The sequence below is a fragment of the Homo sapiens genome, chromosome 19, assembly GCF_000001405.40.
Source record: "Homo sapiens chromosome 19, GRCh38.p14 Primary Assembly".
NCBI classification, from domain to species: domain Eukaryota; kingdom Metazoa; phylum Chordata; class Mammalia; order Primates; family Hominidae; genus Homo; species Homo sapiens.
Genome location: NC_000019.10, coordinates 15,758,583 through 15,780,654, shown reverse-complemented (window position 1 = coordinate 15,780,654; position 22,072 = coordinate 15,758,583). Strand labels below are relative to the sequence as shown.

The window sequence follows — 22,072 nt, the reverse complement described above, 5'->3', positions numbered from 1 at the left end:
TGAAAGGGCAGGGTGGCTGTAAACTTGGGGCTCAGAGTCCCCTTTAACCACTCCCCAACTTCCCCTCTAAACTGTGAGGGAGATGCTGAGACCTGAGGATCCAGTCCCCATACTGGGGCACCCTGAGCTGGTTCCTCTGCACCCAGCTGGCCAAACCCCAGGTTTTGGCCGGCATCTCCCAGGCAAGGGAGATGCACCCAGGCTGTGGAGATTGACTGGCCCAGCCCAGCGCAGCCCAGCCTCCCACGACCTTTCCCTAAATCAGGGGCCAGAGGCAAAGAACTCCCAGCAGAAGAGGAGAGGAGGTTGTGTGGTACAAGCTGCTCCTGACAGAAGGTGCCAGGCTGGGGGTGGTCAGACTGGAGCCTCCTGGCCTGGGATGGGGAGGGGCACTGCCCAAGGCTGGGGTGTCTCCAGGCTGCTGGCCTGGGAGACTGGTGGTTTCCTGGTAACCGGACCCCTGGCAACCTCCCAGTGATTCAGGCTGGGCCTTTCTGGACTCTAATCAGTCTCTCTCTCTCTTCTCCTTTCTGGGTGGTTACTAGGCAACTAGAGGCCACTTGGCTATTGGATTTGGCTGGGGCTTTCTGGAATTTAGCTCTCAGTCCTTGTTTATTCATCCCAGAGCCCTCCCTTTCCTGCCTCCACCCACCCCTTCCCTGCTTCTCTCCACTGTCCCTGGAGCTCCCTGAGACTTTCCCTGGGCCTCAGGATCTCACCCTCCATCCTGTCTGCCCTGCAGGATGCCGCAGCTGAGCCTGTCCTGGCTGGGCCTCGGGCAGGTGGCAGCATTCCCGTGGCTGCTCCTGCTGCTGGCTGGGGCCTCCCGGCTCCTGGCCGGCTTCCTGGCCTGGACCTATGCCTTCTATGACAACTGCCGCCGCCTTCAGTACTTTCCACAACCCCCAAAACAGAAATGGTTTTGGGGTCAACCAGGACCTCGTGAGTGTGGCAGCAGGATGACTCTGGGATCTCAGGGTGGATGGAATTCCCAAAGGGCAGGAAGGGGGATCAAGGAGCTGGGTTTAGAGGGTGGCTGAGGTGTGGGCCGGCAGAGAAGCGAGGGAGGCGGCTCATTCACTCACTCCTCTACCCATGCACTCACTCCTCTCCTCACTCACTCACTCCTCTACCCATGCACTCACTCCCCTCCTCACTCACTCACTCCCCTCCTCACTCACTCACTCCCCTCCTCACTCACTCACTCCCCTCCTCACTCACTCCCCTCCTCACTCACTCACTCCCCTCCTCACTCACTCACTCCTCTCCTCACTCACTCACTCCTCTCCTCACTCACTCACTCCTCTACCCATGCACTCACTCACTCCTCTACCCATGCACTCACTCACTCCTCTACCCATGCACTCACTCACTCCTCTCCTCACTCACGCACTCCTCTCCTCACTCACTCACTCCTCTCCTCACTCACTCACTCCTCTCCTCACTCACTCACTCCTCTCCTCACTCACTCACTCCTCTCCTCACTCACTCACTCCTCTACCCATGCACTCACTCACTCCTCTCCTCACTCACGCACTCCCCTCCTCACTCACTCACTCACTCCCCTCCTCACTCACTCACTCCCCTCCTCACTCACTCACTCCCCTCCTCACTCACTCACTCCCCTCCTCACTCACTCACTCCTCTCCTCACTCACTCCTCTACCCATGCACTCACTCACTCCTCTACCCATGCACTCACTCACTCCCCTCCTCACTCACGCACTCCTCTCCTCACTCACTCACTCCTCTCCTCACTCACTCACTCCTCTCCTCACTCACTCACTCCTCTACCCATGCACTCACTCACTCCTCTACCCATGCACTCACTCACTCCTCTCCTCACTCACGCACTCCTCTACCCATGCACTCACTCACTCCTCTCCTCACTCACTCACTCCTCTACCCATGCACTCACTCACTCCTCTACCCATGCACTCACTCACTCCCCTCCTCACTCACGCACTCCCCTCCTCACTCACGTACTCCCCTCCTCACTCACTCACTCCCCTCCTCACTCACTCACTCCCCTCCTCACTCACTCACTCCCCTCCTCACTCACTCCCCTCCTCACTCACTCCCTCCCCTCCTCACTCACTCACTCCCCTCCTCACTCACTCACTCCCCTCCTCACTCACTCCCCTCCTCACTCACTCCCTCCCCTCCTCACTCACTCCCTCCCCTCCTCACTCACTCCCTCCCCTCCTCACTCACTCCCTCCCCTCCTCACTCACTCCCCTCCTCACTCACTCCCCTCCTCACTCACTCCCCTCCTCACTCACTCCCGTCCTCACTCACTGACTCCCCTCCTCACTCACTGACTCCCCTCCTCACTCACTGACTCCCCTCCTCACTCACTCACTCCCCTCCTCACTCACTCACTCCCCTCCTCACTCACTCACTCCCCTCCTCACTCACTCACTCCCCTCCTCACTCACTCACTCCCCTCCTCACTCACTCACTCCCCTCCTCACTCACTCACTCCTCTCCTCACTCACTCACTCCTCTCCTCACTCACTCATTCCTCTGTAGTTCCATCCCAAGCCTTTCTCACCTACCTGTCCTCCCACCCCAGCCTGTCTGGATCCTTTTGCTGCCTGTCTTTCCTACAATAGTGCACCTCCAAGGGGCTCCTGCAGTACTGTGGGGCACAGAGCAGGGCTCTCCTGGCATCCCCACCTTCTCCACTCTGGACTTGAGGCCTCCTGAGCCCACTATCCAGGGGCTGCTCCCTGCCTGACCCATTTCCTTGTGTCTGCTCATCTCTGGGCTGCTGCTTTCCCACAGGAATTAGCTCTGACTTCCTTCCCCTATGGAGGGACACTGCTGGGCCAGAAGAGAAGTGCAGGCAGTCTCCCACACCTTCCCCTTCCAGGGGTGACGTGCTCTTCCCCACTCAGATGTCCCAATGAGCCCTGTAGCTCAACCGGGATATAATTTGGCCACTCTCTTCCCCTTTCAGAAGCCGTCCTTGACACTCCCAAACCTTGCCCTCCTACTTGGACTTGCCCTCCCCTTTGGGGGACGTGGCCTCCGTCTGCTCACTCATAAATGGCAGGATTGATGGGCATGTCCACAGGTGCACAGGAGGCACTAGCACAGAGCCTGGCATAAGGGGGGGTTCTCCCAGGTGGGAGCTGCCATCCTGAGGGACATTAGAGTCACCTCTGCTTCCCTGGGGGCTGCTGAGAATGGGGGGGTCCTCAGTGTGCAGACCCTTTATCTGTGGGGGGAACCAGAGCCCATGTGGACCAGCCAGGACACAAAAGGATGTGGGAATCTGCCCTAGGGATATGTCCTGAGGCCACACTGCCGTCCCAAACCACCTCCCATGGGGACCTTTCCCTATAAAGCAATCCCCAGACTGAAATCATTCCAGGATGAGAAAACACATCCTCTTGAGCAGACAGCTTGTCTTCCCTCTCTGCTTTGGTATTTACCTTCGGATCCTGGGACAGCCCCAAGAGAGAAGGAGCAGAGGTCAGCAGAAACCCCCTGCAGCTGTTGAGAATCCAGACACGCTGCTCACTGCAGAGGCTGCACCACATCTGGTGGCTGCAGGGGGACTTGCCGTGGCTCCTTCTAGGGAGGTGCATTAGTCAGGGTTCTCCCTAGAAATGGAATCTCCTTAGATGGGAATTTCTTCTTACCTCTAATGCATGTATGTATGGAGACAGAAAGAGACAGAGAGAATTTATTATGGGAATTGGATAATGTGATGATGGAGGCCAGGAATTCCCATGATATACCATCTGCAAGCCAGAAACCAGGGACGCTGGTGGTGTAAATTCAGCCTGAGTCCAAAACGGCCTGAGAACCTGGAGTTCTGAGGGCAGGAGAAGACGGATGTCCCAGCTGCAGAAGAGAGAGCAAATTCCCCCTTTCCTCTGCCTTTTTGTCCTGTTCATGCCCTCAATGGATTTGATGACACCCACCCACATAAGGAAGGGCAGGTCTTCCTTCCTCAGTTTACCTTCAAATGCTAATCTCTCCTGAAACACAGACGCACACAGAAATAATGTTAGACCAGATATCTGGGCATCCCTTAGCCCTGTCAAGTGGACACCTAGAATTAACCATCACAAGGGGTGATGGCCCCTGACTTGCTTTCAGATCATTGCTACAGAGGAAGGCTTGAAGAACTTGACCCAGATGTCAGCCACCTATCCCCAGGGCTTTAGGATATGGCTGGGTCCCATCTTCCCCTTCATCGTTTTATGCCACCCTGACATCGTCCGGTCTATCACCAATGCCTCAGGTACCCATGCAGAGCTTGTGGTGGTGGGTGCTGGGGCTTCCATCCAAGGGCTTCCAGCTCCTTCTCCCCTAGGCTTCTGTGAAGCCCCTGCAGTTCCCAGGCCCCTCTTTCTCTCTTCTCCCTCCATTGAAAGAAGAAGAGGCATCTTCTGCTTTCCTTCATGTATTTGCCAAATTTCATCTCAATGTCTTCCAACTCCTTTGCCATCTGACCCCCTGCTCTGGTGTTCTGGGAACCACCAGGGCCCCAGGAAGCCTCAATCCAGAACCCTGTCCTGAAGGAACCTCCACACTTGAGGAGATGGATCTGGACAGAGACAACCCCAAATTCATGGGGTCAGGAATGGGCAAGAGAGAGATGGGTGTGAAAACCCACAGGAGAACTAGGGTTCTGCTGCGGCAGGCTGGAAGGCTTCCTGGAGGAGGAATTGTTGGAGCTGGGTCTGGACCTATGAGTAGGAATTTTTTTAAGTGTGGGGTAGGATGATGTAATGAGCATCATTGGTATTTGGGGGCCCAGCCAGTCCTGGCACCAACCTTGTCCATCCTTCAGCCTAGAGCGGTAGGAGGACTTGTCGCTGGTGGTGATTCTGGGCTGCTATTTATGTGACATCCATCTATGATGGGTCAGTTCCTTCTACCTTATCCTGTCACTCATCCACCCTACGCTCACTGCTGTCCTCCTGTAGGCCTCAAGAATCTCCAGTAGAGATCCCACACCAGCTTGTTGATCTTCCCTTATTCTCTGCTCTTCCCATCCTTGGACAGACCAGGCTGAGAAGGGAAGGAGCAACGTCCCACAGAAACTATGGCTCTGACCCCAAAATGCTTAGTGACTCTGTGCAGGTCACCTGCTCTCTCTGGCTGCTGAGGTCTCTTTCACCTGTGAGTGATGGAAGCTCAACTTTGTGCACTATAAGCAAATAAAGGGAATCAACGGAGTGTAAAGTCCAGAGAAAGTGGTCTTCAGGCATGGCTGGATCCAGGTGTCAATGTACAGCATCAGGAATTTGTCTCCTTTTAATTTCACCATTTCTCTGCATCACCTTTTCTTTTTTTTTTTCTTTTCTTTTATTATTATACTTTCAACCATTGTGGAAGTCACTTTTTCTTTTAAGGCAGCCCTTCTCTTATGGTGTCAACCATGGGTCTTGGAAGCTCAGCTCTTGTCAGAAAGCTCACCTTTCCCCAAGGGGTCCCATAAATAGCCTACGATTTCTATATTATACCTGATTATATCTCGTATGTTTTACCTGGGATCATATGGAGAAGTCATCATGTGTGTGGCTCAGCTGTGGCCAAGGACACTTGGGGCATGTCCCAGCCTTTCTGGTTCTTCTCTGACATGTGGTTTGAAATTGTCTTTTCTCCTTCTTGTCATCTCTTGGCCATGTTTGTGGCTTGTCCAAGATCTGGGACCCAGGGTCCCTTTGAGAATTGTCAGAGTTATTATTTTAGTCTTCCTGAGCCAGGTCTCAGAATCCATTCCAATCATGCTTGAAGAGAAGTCTTGGTTACACCTGGGACATGTCCAGGACATTTAATAAATCATATTTAAATCCTATCTGGGGCCTGTCAGGTACACAGAAGTCATGCAAGACTATCTTAGGTCCATGTCAGACGATGTGTCATTTAGGGCTCATCATGTATGCTGTGGCCATGTCAGGCATGTTAACATTGGAGACATGCCCCAGGTCCCAGGTCCATTTCAGGAGATGACAGAGAGTGCTGGGGCAGACAGGGTGTCCTAGGCTCCTTTAAAGATATTTTGTAGAGTGTGGAGCTGTGCTCAGTTGTTGCAGAACATGTTGGGATATATAGGAGCCATGTCAAGGCGTGCTGGGGAGTGCTGTGCCCTGTTAGGTTGTGTCATTGCTCTACTGTGCTGTTGCAGCCTGGGCTGGTCCTTCTTCCTCTATCCTCCCTTCGTCCTTTGCCCTTGGCCCCCTTCCTGCTATGCTGGGCATGGAGTAGGGAAAGTGCTGGTAGGGAGCCTTGCCTTATACCTGAAGTTCCTCTCTTGCCCTCTACATGGCCCCTGATGGTCCTCATTCATGCCAGCTGCTATTGCGCCCAAGGATGATCTCTCCATCAGGTTCCTGAAGCCCTGGCTGGGTGAGTACCTGCAGGTGAAAGGGGCTGGGGACAACCTTGAGCAGGGGTGGGGAAGGTGCTGCTCTTGCCCACTGTCCTTGGCTGCCCTACTAGGAGAAGGGATACTGCTGAGTGGCGGTGACAAGTGGAGCCGCCACCGTCGGATGCTGACGCCCGCCTTCCATTTCAACATCCTGAAACCCTATATAAAGATCTTCAACAGGAGTGTGAACATCATGCACGTGAGTTCCTTGAACTCTGGGTCCCAGCAGGAGTCTTGGGGTGGAGGGACCATGGACAGATCTGGTCTGGAATTTTGGCTCTGCTGGGTAGCATTAGGCCATTGCTGTTCCTCTCTGAGCCTTGAGTTCCTCATCTGTAAAATGGGGATGATAATCCCTACTTAAAAGGTGGTAAGATAATGCAAACGAATCATGTCCCTAGCACATAGTAGATACTCAGAAGGTGTCAGATTCCATGTTCCTTTCACAGAAGCCAGGTAAATGCAAAAGTAAAGACAAAGATTGCATAGTAGCCATTACCAATTACAAACCACTTCAATACCCATTGGTTTAGATCAATAAAGGTTTATGATTGCTAATGAGTCTGTGAGACATTTAGCTGGTTCTTCCGGATGTAGATGCGATCAACTTTGGTACATGAGCAGCTGTGGGGCATGTAGGCAGCTTTGCTGATCCTGGTCCAGTTCATTCACATGTTTAGGGCTTCACTAGCTTCAGGCTGATCTGGGATGGCCTCAGCTGTGACACCTGGACTTTCCCCCATGTGATTCTCTGCCTCCAGAAGGCACCCTGTTGTTCACATGGCAGAGACTGGGTTCCGAGAAACTGAGAGGAGGCTGCAATATTTCTGGACATTGTCTCTGCAATCTTCAAAGTTCAACCAGCCTTGGGGCTATTCGAGTTATTACATCATCATGTTCACCACACTGTATTGGCCAAAGAAAATCAAATGTCCAGCACAGACTAAAAGGGATGTAAAATAGAATCCATCTATTAATGGAAGCTGCTGAAAAATTACTGCGCAAAGGGTGTAAATACAAAGAGAAGTGAAGAACTGGGGGTCAGGATTTTGTGATATGCCTAGGATGTTTCTTTTACTTGCAAGCTGATAAGTTAGCTTGTTACTGTTTCATGCATTCTAATAGAAGACACAAGACCCCTGGGTCAGAGACAAAGGGTAGTTGATTACTCAGGCACAGCAAGCAACATGTATGTCTTGTTGGTTTGTATCCTTTTTCGGAGTCAACCTAAATTCCATGGGGGTGACACAGTGGGCCTTGCTAGTTGCCTGCTCATGCAGTACATTGCATGACAGACAATGGGCATTAGGCTTAAGGAATCTGCTTTAATAGTAGCAGAAACAAGCCTGATATTGGTCCAGGGGGATTCATTGCCTTATCTCTCCAGGTTGTTCCCTGCAAACACAACTCTGAAAAATGGCTGAAGTAAGAACATCATGGCCTTGCATTCTTGGCATGCCCAGCAAGGATGCTCAGGGCTGATGAAGAAGTGCCTCTTCCAACACAGGGATATTTTTGAAATGACTTTGTAACAATGGAGAAGAGTGAAGAGAACATTTACTGAGCACTCACCATAGGCCTAAAACAATGTCATGTCCCCGTTCCATGACATATGTGTCTAATTTAATTTTAATAACCCTGTGAGTTATGGTTATTTTTGCCCAATTGCAGATGATGAAACTGAGGGCCAGAGAGGTTAGCGAGCTGGAAACAGTTCAACCAGTCTCCAGCTAGGAGACTGATCTAGGGGTGGTGGAGCAGAGATTCTGTCCTGGTTTATCTGGCCCAAAGCAGATCATCTTGACCATTATTGAATATTTGACATGTGGGACCTAGAGGAGGGCAATAGATTGACCAAGGGCACACAGAACATAGGAGACAAGGCTGAGACTTGAATGCAGGTCTCTTGACTCCAAGCCATGGGTCTTCATCTCCTATACTAACAGCTTCTGCTCGCATCCAAGTCTGGTCCTCACTGGCAATGGGTTCCTGGGGCAGAGGACCAGGAGGCTGGTTGTGGGGGAGTCCATCCTGATGTTTGGGACTGGGGAGGGGCACAAAGGAGGCAGGGCCCAGCTCTAGCCGTCTTCATTTCTCTGGCCAGGACAAGTGGCAGCACCTGGCCTCAGAGGGCAGCAGTCGTCTGGACATGTTTGAGCACATCAGCCTCATGACCTTGGACAGTCTGCAGAAATGCATCTTCAGCTTTGACAGCCATTGTCAGGAGTGAGTTCCTTCCCAGGGCCTGGGATGTGAATCCATGGACCAAAGGGAGAAAGTTGGGGAGGGAGGAATGAGCAAAGTAACCAGAAGTACCTTTCGGGAGGATTTGTATCATAGCTGGGCTTTTAAGGTCAAGGAAGGGGAGAAAGTGTTGTCTTTCCAGGTAGGTAGAAATATTTGAGTAACAGTAATAAGGTTAGGATGAGCCAAGCATATGCAACAGACAGTAGAAATGTGGTTGTGGAAATAGGATTAGATATTAGGGACACTGAAAATCAGGAAAAGTGGTATGAAGTTTATCAAGATGGTCCCAGGGAGCTTTTGAAGGAGTTTCAGCTGATGATGGCTGTGGTAAGAGCTGAGCTGTGTGGGAATCTGACAGTAGTGTAGACACTACATGGAGCTGACATTGGGTACAAATTGGTTATGGTGGGGGCTGGAGTCGGGCTGAAGTGGAAGAGGATGAAGTCTGAGTTGTGTGGACAGTTTTGGTAAGGAATATGATCAGTACTGGATACTGGATGGGAGATGAGAGAAACATGGTGTCCAAGCTACACTCCGGGTACCTAGGTGCATGGAGACAGCTCTCAGAGATAGGATGCAGGGAGGGAATAGAGTCTAGAGAGTCAATCTCAGGACAGATACCCATCATGTATCTCTAGGACCATCTGTTTCTAGATACTCAGTTTCCTGATGGGAGGTAGCTCCTGGCTGCTGGTGGGAGGTGTTCCTGGGCTTTGCATATGTTACATTGTTGCCTCCCTTTCTGCCCTTGGCCTGCAGGAGGCCCAGTGAATATATTGCTACCATCTTGGAGCTCAGTGCCCTTGTAGAAAAAAGAAACCAGCATATCCTCCAGCACATGGACTTTCTGTATTACCTCTCCCATGACGGGTGGCGCTTCCGCAGGGCCTGCCGCCTGGTGCACGACTTCACAGATGCCGTCATCCAGGAGCGGCGCCATACCCTTCCCACTCAGGGTATTGTGATTTCCTCAAGAACAAAGCCAAGTCCTAGACTTTGGATTTCATTGATGTGCTTCTGCTGAGCAAGGTGGGTTTCTCTACGATCTGAATTACAGTGATAGAATGGAGCTTTATGTCAAATGTCAGATGAAATAAATTGGACTTCATCCAGAGGGCACTGGGAGCCATGGAAGATGCTTGAGAAAGGGAAGGTCACAGATAGGTTTTAGAGATGATTCTGTTGAATGCAGCCCGCAGGGGACTGCTAATTCTGAAACTGTGAAGAACGTGCGATTTTACTCAACTTACAAGTTAGTAAGTTAGTCTTTCACATTTTTATTTATGTCTATGTCTTCGTCTATGTCTATATCTATGATGACAGATGCACCAAACCCCTGGATTACAGCAGCCCATTAATTATTTACAGCAGTAACAGTGGGAGGAGTAGGATTGTTGTGCTGGCTCCCCATTTCTAGGGCAACACAATGTTTTTACCTGTAAATGTACAAGAATTTGCACCATAGGAGAGGGGCCCCCACATTATGAGTCTTATATCTTATATAGGACAGTTAGTTCATATGCTCCTTCTTTTTTACAGGGTGAAAGAGAGAGAGAGAGAGAGAATGCTTTGTTCAGGAGTATAAACTACTACTCTCCAGTGAGATGGCAATTTCTATAGGTTTATAATCCAAATATCTTCTGGAAAGATAAGATTCTCTGAGTTTACCACTCTAGAATGTGAGCAAATATCTTTAAAGCAATATGTAATTTTTAACCTCCAAGGCAAATTGCCATTTAAACTTCCTGTACCCCAAGTTGCCAGTATCTTTTTCTCTTAAAGTCTTCATTATACAGAAATATGAAAATATTCGAGTCATTGATTCCTCCCACCAGGGACCAAAGACAAGGCAAAGGAGCTGGGGGGAAGACCTTGGAATGGGGGCTCTGGTGATGGTGAACAAGAGAGATCTAGACATTCAGAGTGGGTTTGAGTTTCTGGAAGAAGATCGGACCTTCAGAGATTGTCTCAGGTGAGACTCGGGAGTCTCAGAGATAGTAAATTTGGGGGAGGGTTTGTCTTGCTTTCCCTTCAGGATGAAGATGGGAAGGTGTTGTCAGATGAGGATGTAAGAGCAGAGGCTGACACCTTCATGTTTGCAGGTGAGGCTGCCAGTGTGGGACTACAGTGAGGACAGGGGTCCTTTCATCTCAGGAACATGGTGGGTGGGCCCTGGATCACTCAATTCTGCCTATCTTCCCCCTCCCTCCATCCTCCCTGAGGGCCTCAATGCATGGACGCTGTCCACCCTCTGGTGCTGAAGCAGCCCAGAGACCCAAGCCTGCCTGCTTCCCCTTCAGGCCATGACACCACAGCCAGTGGTCTCTCCTGGGTCCTGTACAACCTCGCGAGGCACCCAGAATACCAGGAGCACTGCCGGCAGGAGGTGCAAGAGCTTCTGAAGGACCGCGATCCTAAAGAGATTGAATGGTGAGTGCAGGTTCTTCTGGCCTGTTCCTGAGCCCGTCATTGGCTCTGCTCCCCAAGTGGGAAGGGAGAAAGTTGTTTTTGTCAATTCTTCCATTATTGCTTAGTAGTATTAGGAGCAGAGCCCAGAGGCAGAACTTGATATCCAGCCTGGCTAGCAGGGGAAAGTTTTCAGGCTTTTAGGACAGAGAGTCCTAGCCTGCTGAGAGAGCTGGTGACAATATGTGAAGGCAGATGATGACACCTAGACATGTTCAGTCAATGAATTTTCCCTTCACTCACTTCTTATTTTCTCTGAATTATCATTTTTTTCAAACATCTTCACTTCCTGGATGTTTGCTCTTCTGTTCCCTAATTCCTACCCTCCAGTCCAGTCCAGGGAGTTGTAAAGGAGACCTGGGGGTAAAAGTCATCTATCTCTTTCTAGAATACCTGCATCATTCATCCATTCAGTCTTCATTCAGCAAACTCTTCCACATGTCTTACCAATGCCAGTTCTGTTCCCAGCACCTTTCTGTTCCCTGGATACCTGGAAAGAACACTGTCCAGGGATGTGTCTTTCAGGTACTCCCAGCCTAGTGGGAAGAGTCTCAGGTAGGACTTCTCTGTCCACATGGACAAGGATGGTATTGAGAACAAGAGAAGCAGACTGAGAATATAGTAAGTGTTTCACGCCAGATGTGGTGGCTGGCGCCCATGATACCAAGTACTAAGGAGGTTGAGGTGGGAGGATCACTTGAGGTCAGGTTTAAGATGAGCCTGGGCAATACAGAAAGAATCCATCTCTAAAACAGTAAAAATAAATAAATAAAAGTATTCTAACTGAGATCCTGAATGATGATCAGTAGACGTTTGCATGCAGTAGTGGTCTAAGTCAAAAAGACAGCCTTGGCAAAGATGCAGAAAGAAGCAGGGGTGGGAGAGAGGGAGAAGAGGGAAAAAGAGAAGGAGTTGTTTGTGTAAGGGGGAAGGAGAAGGTTATAAAGGGAGAAAGAAGGAAGAGGGAGGGAAAGTGAGGGACAGAGAGAGATAAAGAGAGGAGGGAAGAGAAAACGAGACAGAGAATGAGAGAGGGAGAAACTGAGTCATGATGAGATAATAATAATGGAGGTGGCAGCAGAGCCTGGCTGTGGAAGACATGGAAAAAATGTTAATGACTTCCATTTTAACCCAAAGGCAATTAGGAGCCATAGGAAGTGGGTGAGCAGGGGAGGGGTAGGCCAGATCTGGGCAGAAGGAAGATCCTTTCAGGACTACTGTGGAGAGCATATTAGAGAGGATCAGCTGTAGAATGAAGTCCCAGTGAGGACATTCTGGGACCTGAGCCAGGCCAGGGGCTGGGGATGGAGAGGAGGCAATGGACTGGACAGGTGTTTTGAAGGCAGTGTCCTCCCGTCCAAGACTTTGCTCAGCCCAGCAGTCCTGTGAAGTGGCAACACATTTCTATGCTTTTAAAAACCTAGCTTTCAAGCAAAATTGTGCACTCTGTCAAAAAAAATCCATAAATTTATGATAAAAAATGAGCTTCCTTCTTAAGTCTCACACTAGCGGTTTCTACCATCAATGGTTTTCTGTGTGTCCTTCCAGTAAAATGGTTATCTTGATGCCCACTTTATATGAACACAGACTTTTTCTATACAAATAGGAGTATATAAAATAGACACAACATTTCTTTTCCAAGATGATGAATTGGAGGCAATGTCAGTGTGTCTCTCCCCTGTGGAAGGACAAAAAAGTATGTAGAGATTCACACTGTGAACTTTCTTTCCCCAAAAAACAACACAGAGGCTTAACAGGAAACCCAAAAGAATCCATAGACCCTTCAAAAGAAGCTGCAGGCTGCATCCTACTCTGTGAGACAGGTGAAAAACTGTGAATCCCCAGAGTGTGAGAGGGGGAGAGACTGCCTCCAGGGTACACATCTTCACTGGGGAGTCTGAAAAGCCAGACCACAGGGGGAGGCCTTAACTCTACCCAGAGCTGGAACTGATTTAGGGAGTGGTAAGAAATATAAAAATAGAAGCAGCAGCAGAAAGTGCCTTGCAGGCATTCCCAATCTCCAGCATGGACTGAGGGAAGCCATTCCTTATTATATCTCACAGGAGACCTTGCAGAAGCCAGCCAACTAGCTCAGGCAGGGGTCACAGGTTGAAATGCCCAACTGAATTTCTTGATATAACCTCAAGTGGGGATGAACTCCCTTGACCAGAACCCAGGGGGCAAGCGGGAAGTGTACTGCAGACAGGAGTGCAGGAGCTGGGTGCCTGGCCTTGGACAGGGACAAAAAGGGGCATGGCCTAAAAGTATTGCTATCTCTGGGGGAAAAGCTTATGGCCTGGGGCAGGTCTGAGTTCTGTGCATAGACTACTTGGATCTAAATCCAGTGCTATGGGTGGAGCACTGCAGGAGTGAGATCAGTCTTGCCAACTGCATGGGAGCCGGATGAGGCTTACTGCCACCTGCTACTCTCCACTCCCTTTGCAAGCTCTTTTGCAAGGCAGAGGCAGTTATACTCACCTCTGGAACATTACCCCAGTGACCTAAGAACTGCCCTCTGACTCACACAGCTGCCAAAAAAATAGTTCCAAAGATAAAATACCTAGGAATATATTTAACTAAGGTGGTGAAAGATCTCTACAAGGAGTACTACAAAACACTGTTGAAAGAAATCGTAGATGACACAAACAAATGGAAACACATCCTATGCTCATGAATTGGAAGAATCAATATTGTGAAAATGACCATACCATGCAAAGCAACCTACATATTTTAATGCAATGCCCATTAAACCACCATCATCATTTTCACAGAACTGGATAAACAATTCTAAAATTCATATGGAACCAAAAAAGAGCCTGTGCAGCCAAAGCAATAACAAACAAAAAGAATAAATCTGGAGGCATCACATTACTGGACTTCAAATTATACTACAAGGCTATAGTTACCAAAACAACATGGCACTGGTATAAAAGTAGGTACTTAGACCAACGGAACAGAATAGAGGACCCAGAAATAAAGCCAAATACTTACAGCCAACAGATCTTTCACAAAGCATACAAAAACATAAATTGGGAAAGGGACACCCTATTCAATAAGTCATGCTGGGAAAACTGGATAGCCACATGTAGAAAAATTAAACTGGATCCCCATCTCTCACCTTATACAAAAATCAACTCAGGATGGATCAAAGACTTAAATCTAAAACCTGAAACCATAAAAATTCTAGAAGATAACCTTGGAAAAACTCTTCTGGACATTGGCCTAGGCAAAGGATTCATAACTAAGACCCCAAAAGTAAATGCAACAAAAACAGAAACAAATCAGTGGGACCTAACTGAATTAAAAAGCTTCTGCACAGCAAAAGAAACAATCATCAGAGTAAACAGATAACTTACAGAGTGGAAGAAAGTATTTGCAAACTGTGCATCTGACAAAGGACTAGTATCCAGAATCTACAAGAAACTTAAATCAGCCAGAATAAGACAAATAATTCCATCAAAAAGTGGGCAGAGGACATGAATAGACAATTCTCAAAAGAAGATACACAAATAGCCAAGAAACATATAAAAAATGCTCAACATCACTAATCATCAGGGATATGCAAATGAAAAAACCACAATGAGATACCACCTTATTTCTACAAGAATGGCCATAATTAAAAAGTCAAAAAACAATAGATGTTGGTGTGCGTGTGGTGAAAAGGGAACACTTTTACACTGCTGGTGGGAATGTAAATTAGCACAACCTCTATGGAAAACAGTAAGGAGATTCCTTAGAGAACTAAAAGTAGATCTACCATTCCATCCAGTAATCCAACTACTAAGTATCCACCCAAAGGAAAATAAGTCATTATATGAAAAAGATACGGGCACATGTATGCTTATAGTAGCACAATTCACAATTGTAAAGATATGGAACCAACCTAAGTGTCCATCGACCAACGAGTGGATAAAGAAAATGTGACATATATATATATACCATGGAATACTACTCGTCCGTAAAAAGGAATGAAATAATGTCTTTTGCTGCAACTTGGATGGAGCTGGAGGCCATTATTCTAAGTGAAGTAACTCAGGAATGGAAAACCAAACACTGTATGTTTTCACCTCTAAGTGGGAGCTAAGTTGTGAGGACACAAATACATACAGAATGATATAATCAGCTTTGGAGACTTAGGGAGCGAGGTTGGGAGGTGGATAAGGGAGAAAAGACAACATATTGGGAATAGTATACACTGCTCAGGTGATGGGTGCACTAAAACCTCAGAATTCACCGCTGTAGAATTCATCCATGTAACCAAACCACTTGTACCCCAAATGCTGTTGAAATAAAAAGAAATAAAGTGTCACAGATCTGCACATTAACACTATATCTTTTGAGATCTTTCCTTTTTTTTTTTTTAATTTTTTGAGACAGTTTTGCTCTGTCGCCCAGGCTAGAGTGAGTGCAATGGCGCGATCTCGGCTCACTGCAACCTCCACCTCCCAGGTTCAAGCAATTCTCCTGCCTCAGCCTCCTGAGTAGCTGGTATTACAGGCACCCGCCGCCATGTCTAGCTAATTTTTGTATTTTTAGTAGAGGCGGGGTTTCACTGTGTTGGCCAGGCTGGTCTCGAACTCCTGACCTTGTGATCCACCTGCCTCGGTGTCCTAAAGTGCTGGGATTATAAGCGTGAGCCACTGTACCCAGCAAGATGTTTTCTTTTCTTTTCTTTTTCTCAAAATATGAGTTTTGGAAAATAAGTTTATTTTTATTTATTATGTTTATTAATATTATATATATTTATGGGGTACAATGTGACGTTATAATATATGTATACAATGTGGAATGATTAAGTCAATCTGATAAACATAACCACCATTTCATATACTCATCATATTTATGGTGAGAACATTTGAAATTTACTCTCTTAGGAATTTTGAAAAATATATTATTATTAACTGTAGTCACCATGCATGTAATAGGTCTCAAAACTTATTCCTCCTGTCTAACAGAAACTTGTACCCTTTGACCGTCTTTCCACTCTTTCTTCCTCCCTCCTCTGGTAACCACCATTCTCTTCTCAGTTTCTCTGATTTCTATGTTAACTATTTCAGATCTCACAGGTAATTAAGGTCGCGTGCTATTTGTCTTCTTGTGCCTGGCTTATTTCACTTAGCATAATGTCCTCCAGGTTCTTCCATGCTATCACAAATGAAATAATTTTCTTCTGTTTTAAGGCTGAATAGCACTCCATTTTGTATATATACCACATGGAAAATGAGTTTATAATGAGAATTACAAAAAAATGAGTTTGAATTACAAAAGAACAGGTTCTTCTTGCACTCAATGAGACATTACAGATAAGACAAGGGTTATCCTTGACATTCCTGCTACCCCACCTAATATCCTCCCTTTCTCCAAAGGGGCCTGTAGAGATACTGATTTGTCATCTGTCTGTCTGTTTGTTTATCCATCTATCTACATAACTTTCTATCATCTATCTCCTTATATATTCCATATATATTTTGCACTATGAGATATATATATAGACATTTTGGAACACTTTTTTTTCCACTCAACAGTGTGTCTGATAGCTATTTTTTTGACTGCTGAATAGCATTCCATACTTTATTTGGCCTGTCCCTTTCTTGAAGTCACTTGTGTAAACATTTTCAATTATTGTGGAATTGTCAATCTGCCTTTCAGAGTCTCTGTACTGATTCACCTTCTAGCCTGCATTGTGTGACAGGACTAGTGATCCTTATTTCCTCCTTTTGTGTAGCTGTATACTATTCCATTGTGTGGATGTTTATCTAAATATCTTCCTATCCATGTATATTTGGCTCATTTTAGCCTTTTGCTAAATTAAACCTGTTGCAATTGGCATGTGTGTACAGTGACCACTGTTTATATGTGTGGGCATCTCTGTAGGACACACTCCCAAAGGTGGAATTGCTGAATCAAAGACCATTTGCATTCTACAATTGTAAAAATGAGTGCAAATCCATTCCTATATTAGCTGAGTTTGATGGCATAAGCTTAAACTTCCCCATAAATTCACCAATAGCATTACTGTATTATTAAATTTTAAGTTTTTGTCAATTTTAATATTTCATCTTTTAATGAACATTTTCTTAAATAAGAGGGAGAAGAACATCTTTTGCCCAAGTTGATACGCCATTTGTTTTCTTTCTATGGGATTGGTCATCTTACATTTTTTTTCTTTTTTTTGCTGTTTTTCTTCGGGTTGTTTTTTCATACTTACTTAAAAGGATGTGTATTACAATAATCTTTTTTTCTGTCTTTTGTTGCAAAAGATTGCCTTTTGACTTGTTTGAGGGTACTTTTGGTTAATTTTTATGAAGTCAAATTCGTCTACATTTTCTTTTGCAGCCATAGTACCCATCTATTTCCCAGAGTTTCGTTCGTCTACATTTTCTTTTGCAGCCATAGTACCCATCTATTTCCCAGAGTTTCGTAGAGCTTCCTTCAGCAGATGGGAAGTTTTCATTTATTCACTTGTCTGTCTCTGAGCTTTCTAGTCTTTTGAATAGGTCTGTTTTTCTGTTCTTACAGCATTGCCAGACTATTGCTATTACTGCAACTTCTTAATAGGTTTTAATAGCTGGTAGAGTGACTTTTTTTTAAATCACCCCTTACATACATTTGTTGCCATGGTAAAGTGTATCTTTTATTTGGATTGAGAGAAATTTATAATAAAATACAGAGATTTCATGTTTCTTTTTAAGTTTAATCCAGGTATTTTATATTATTATGACTAGCATCTTTTATTATCATCTTTTCAGTTGGTGGTTATTTCTACATGAAAAACTAATGATTTATACATATAAATTCTGTGCCCAATGAACACAGTACATGCTAAAGATGATGCTGTGTATCAAGAGAAAAAATAAGTAAAAGCTCTTGGGACAACTGGAAAGCCTTCTGGAAAAAAGGCAACAAGCTGGTTCTCATGTCTTATGACAAGATAATGTCCAGATTAATAAAATTTTTTTAAAAGAGTCTTAAAAGCCCTAGATGAAACCATGAGAAAATTATTTCATAGCTCCAGAGTAGGGATAACCTTATTTTGACGTAAGTTCCAGGGGCTAAGAAAAAGTGATAAACTGTTAAATGAGAAAAAGATATAGGCCAGGCACGGTGGGTCATGGCTATAATCCCAGAACTTCGGAAGGCTGAGGTGGGCTGTGGTGGGCAGATCATCTGAGGTCAGGGGTTCAAGACCAGCCTGGCCAACGTGGTGGAATCCCATCTCTACTAAAAATCAAAAAAATTAGCCAGGCATGGTGGTGCAGGCCTGAAGCCCCAACTACTCAGGAGATTGAGGCAGGAGAATCACCTGAACCTGGGAGGTGGAGATTACAGTGAGCGGAGATTGCACCACTGCACTCCAGCCTGGGCAACAGAGTAAGATTCTGTCTCAAAAAAAAAAAAGATGCAGAATACTAGTGTATAGTAGATGGTGTGCTCCTATATAATTTTTTTAATATACTAAATATTAGCACAGGAAGGACACATTAAAAAAATAATAACCTGGGCAACATGTGGGGAGAAGTAGATGGCATTGGGCCATAGGAGTGGATTATATTTTACAGTTTTCAAATTCTGAATCAGATAGGTTTAGATGGTATTAAAATTTTAAATAGCCAAGGCAAAAGAAGAAAGATTAAGCAGATAATTCAGCTCCTTTACTGGATCTTAAACGTTTATAAACGTTTTCCAGTGGAGCTTCCTGTGTTTTCTAAGTATAACATCACTATCTGCCAAAATGATACATTTACTCCCACATTTCAAATTGCATGACTCTCTTGTTTTTCCCTTGCCTAATTGCACTTGCTGGTATCTCTAGTTCCATGCGAAATAAGAGCAAAACATTGGATCTGGGTATTTTGTTTCTTATTCATTTGCATTTGAGTTTGCTTTCTTGCCATAGACAATATTTATTTTTATGCAAATTTGTTAACTTTTTTCAGCTGGCTTCTGGGTGTGTTTTCCTCAGAGTATATATTTTTAACTACTTGGCTAAATTTTCTCTGGTACTTCTAATTCTCTGTTTTTCTAATTTTTTCTGTTTTTCTAATTCTCAAACTTTTGATCCATGTGGAGTTTATTTTGTTACAGGGAGAAAAGGTCTCACTTGGAAATAGAGAAGCTGGAGAAGTGTGTCTTTGCTCCCTTGATAATGATTGGGGCTGGGGTGTTGCCTTAGGTACGACCTGGCCCAGCTGCCCTTCCTGACCATGTGCGTGAAGGAGAGCCTGCGGTTGCATCCCCCTGTTCCGTACACCTCCCGCCACCGCATCTGGGACATTGTGCTCCCAGATGGTAGGGTCATCCCCAAAGATGCTCACAGCCTCATGGGGAGGAGCCCCCCGGGTAGGAAGAGGGGTCCTTCAGGGGGATCCTTGTCCTGACTGCCACCTTCTCTCCCACAGGCATTATCTGCATCATCAACATTATAGGAATCCATCACAACCCAACTGTGTGACCGGATCCTGAGGTGCTGCCTTTCCCATCCACCCCCGACCCCCTGCCCTCTTTGTCAATTCCAAGGTTCCTAGAGGAGGAGGCAGGGTTTTGATCAGGAAAATCCAACATCACCTCGCCCCAACACACACACAACTGTCTTTCCAAGGCTGCTGGACCTGGGAGACCCCACCCAGCAGCCCTCTTGGTCTTACCTCCAGGTCTACAACCCCTTCCGCTTCAACTCAGAGAACAGCAAGGAGAGGTCACCTCTGGCTTTTATTCCCTTCTCTGCGGGACCCAGGTAAGGGCCACCTGTGTCTGGTATGGGGATGGGGTGATAGGTGCGAGGGTCGAAAAAGGGGGAAGTTTGCAGATGGTCCCAGTTCCAGTTCTCTTTCCCTCCATTCCTTCACAGTTTATGGGAAAATGTCCATAGAATGGGGGTGAGTAGGTCCTAGAGGGTCCGCAGAGTGCTCAGAATCCCCTCCTCCATCTGCTGGTCTGAGCTGGGAGCTGGAGTCTGGCCCAGGCTCTGGGGGACATGCAAACCCACAGGGGGGTCCCACGCATGCTCAGCCCCTCTCTATCTCTCAGGCTGATCTGGGTGCGGTTGAGGATCCCGGGCCAGGTTTCCGGCGTGATGGGGCCCAAATGCGGATCCTGGGCGCAGTCACAGTCCCCACTCCCACCCGCAGGAACTGCATCGGGCAGGCGTTCGCCATGGCGAAGATGAAGGTGGTCCTGGCGCTGACGCTGCTGCGCTTCCGCTTCCTGCTGGACCACACGGAGCCCCGCAGGAAGCCGGAGCTGATCATGCGCGCTGAAGGAGGACTTTGGCTGCGAGTGGAGCCCCTGAACGCGGGCTTGCAGTGACCCTCTGACCCATCCACCTGCCTTTCCAGATTCTCCGGAATAAAACTGTGCCTGGGCCTCTACTGACAGCCAGCAGGGGGCTCTTGAGGACTGGGAGGCGTCAGGGAAGGGGCATAACCTGGGCGGGTTAGGTGGGGTGTTGTCACTGAACCCAAGAACCTGACTGCCTCTTTGGCTGATCATAGGGCCTCCATGCTTTGGGAGTGTCCCAAGACCGAGGTCCTTAGCCAGCTCAGAACACAGGGATAGAAGGGTGCAGCTTCTATCCTGGTAGGCTTTTAGGAATTCTTAGCTCCCTTTCTTGCCAGCATCCCACCCTACGTCTCCCCCTTCAAGTTGATCGCTTTTGTGAACCCCCTTCCCCTACCTTCAGACAGCTCCATTTTTTTTCCTCTTTTGAACCCTCTGACTCTGCCCAGGCAGCCTGGCCAACAGATACTACCTGAATCCTCCCCCTACTCTCCTCTGCTATGTGCCAGGCACCCTCACACATGTCAGGGGTTCAGCACATCCCCACCCTTTCACCTCTAGGTTCCTCCTTCATTCCCATCACCTGCCCATGTTGGGGTGGGGTGCAGTCAGGGCCATCCTGTTTGACCCTTGAGATCCAAAGCCAGATGACTGGAAGCAAAACACCATCCCAAAGGCATGACATCTGGAACCAGACTACTTGGGCTCAAGTCTCAGCTTTGCTGTGTGGCTTGGGCAAGTTAATTCTCCTCTCTTTTCTTCAGTTTTCTCAAGCATATAATGGGGACAACAATGCTACCTTTGTCAGGGTTTTCCTGAGGACAAAATATGAGAGACTCAGAACTGTGCCTGGTGCACATTGAATGCTCAATAAATACGGCCATTATTACCTGCTCTCTGAGAAAGTCTGGTTAATAAAGCATGTTGCCTTTCAAGATAGTTTTTTTCTACCATGACTTTAAATACTGTTTTGGAACTCATAGGCAAAAATTCCAATATCTGTGCTTCTTGAATAATCTCTTCATTTTTAGAGGACTGTACATTTAGGAGACAATTTTTTCCAAGAGTGGTAAAAGCACCTAAAATGTGGCAGGGTGGTAGGAGAAGGAGAGAATCCTCAGTTAATGTCTTAAAATAATGTCCCACTAGTAAAGCTGACCTCTGTTCATAGCTTAAGGAATTCTGCATCTCTGCACCCTGCTGACTTGTCAAATCTCTCCAGCCGATATCCCTCCCTTGTTACACTCAGTCGCCTTGTCCTTGATTCTGATCTCCAAATACATTATATTTTCTTGTACAGGACCATTGCATTTTCTTTGTACCTTTGTCAAAGATCAGTGGTGCCAAGAATATTCAATGGGGAAAAGACAATCTCTTCAGTAAATGGTGGTGAGAAAACTGGATGTCCATATGCAGAATAATGAAACTGAACTCTTATCTCTTATTGTATTCAAAAATCAAATCAAAATGGATTAAAGACTTAAATGCAAGACCTGAAGCTATGAATTACTTGAAGAAAACATTGGGGAAATTCTTCAGGCCATTGATATGGGCAAGAACTTTTTTGATAAGAACTCAACAGCACAGACAACAAAGGTGAAATAGACAAACGAGATTACAAAAGACAAGCACAAATCCCACTGCTACCACTGCAGCTAGTGCTCTTTTGCAAGCTTCACATCCTGGCTGT

The 22,072-nt window shown here is 46.7% G+C and overlaps 1 pseudogene across 1 annotated transcript; it reads left to right on the top strand.

The window, feature by feature from the left end:
- Positions 1 to 666: 666 nt before the first annotated feature.
- CYP4F24P (cytochrome P450 family 4 subfamily F member 24, pseudogene) lies at positions 667 to 21,321 on the top strand (annotated as a pseudogene). The gene is made up of 10 exons (NR_033864.1): positions 667 to 942; positions 6,318 to 6,371; positions 6,465 to 6,592; positions 7,781 to 8,033; positions 8,498 to 8,619; positions 9,400 to 9,669; positions 10,676 to 10,742; positions 10,941 to 11,070; positions 19,758 to 19,840; positions 20,235 to 21,321. The product of NR_033864.1 is annotated as a cytochrome P450 family 4 subfamily F member 24, pseudogene (transcript).
- Positions 21,322 to 22,072: the final 751 nt, after the last annotated feature.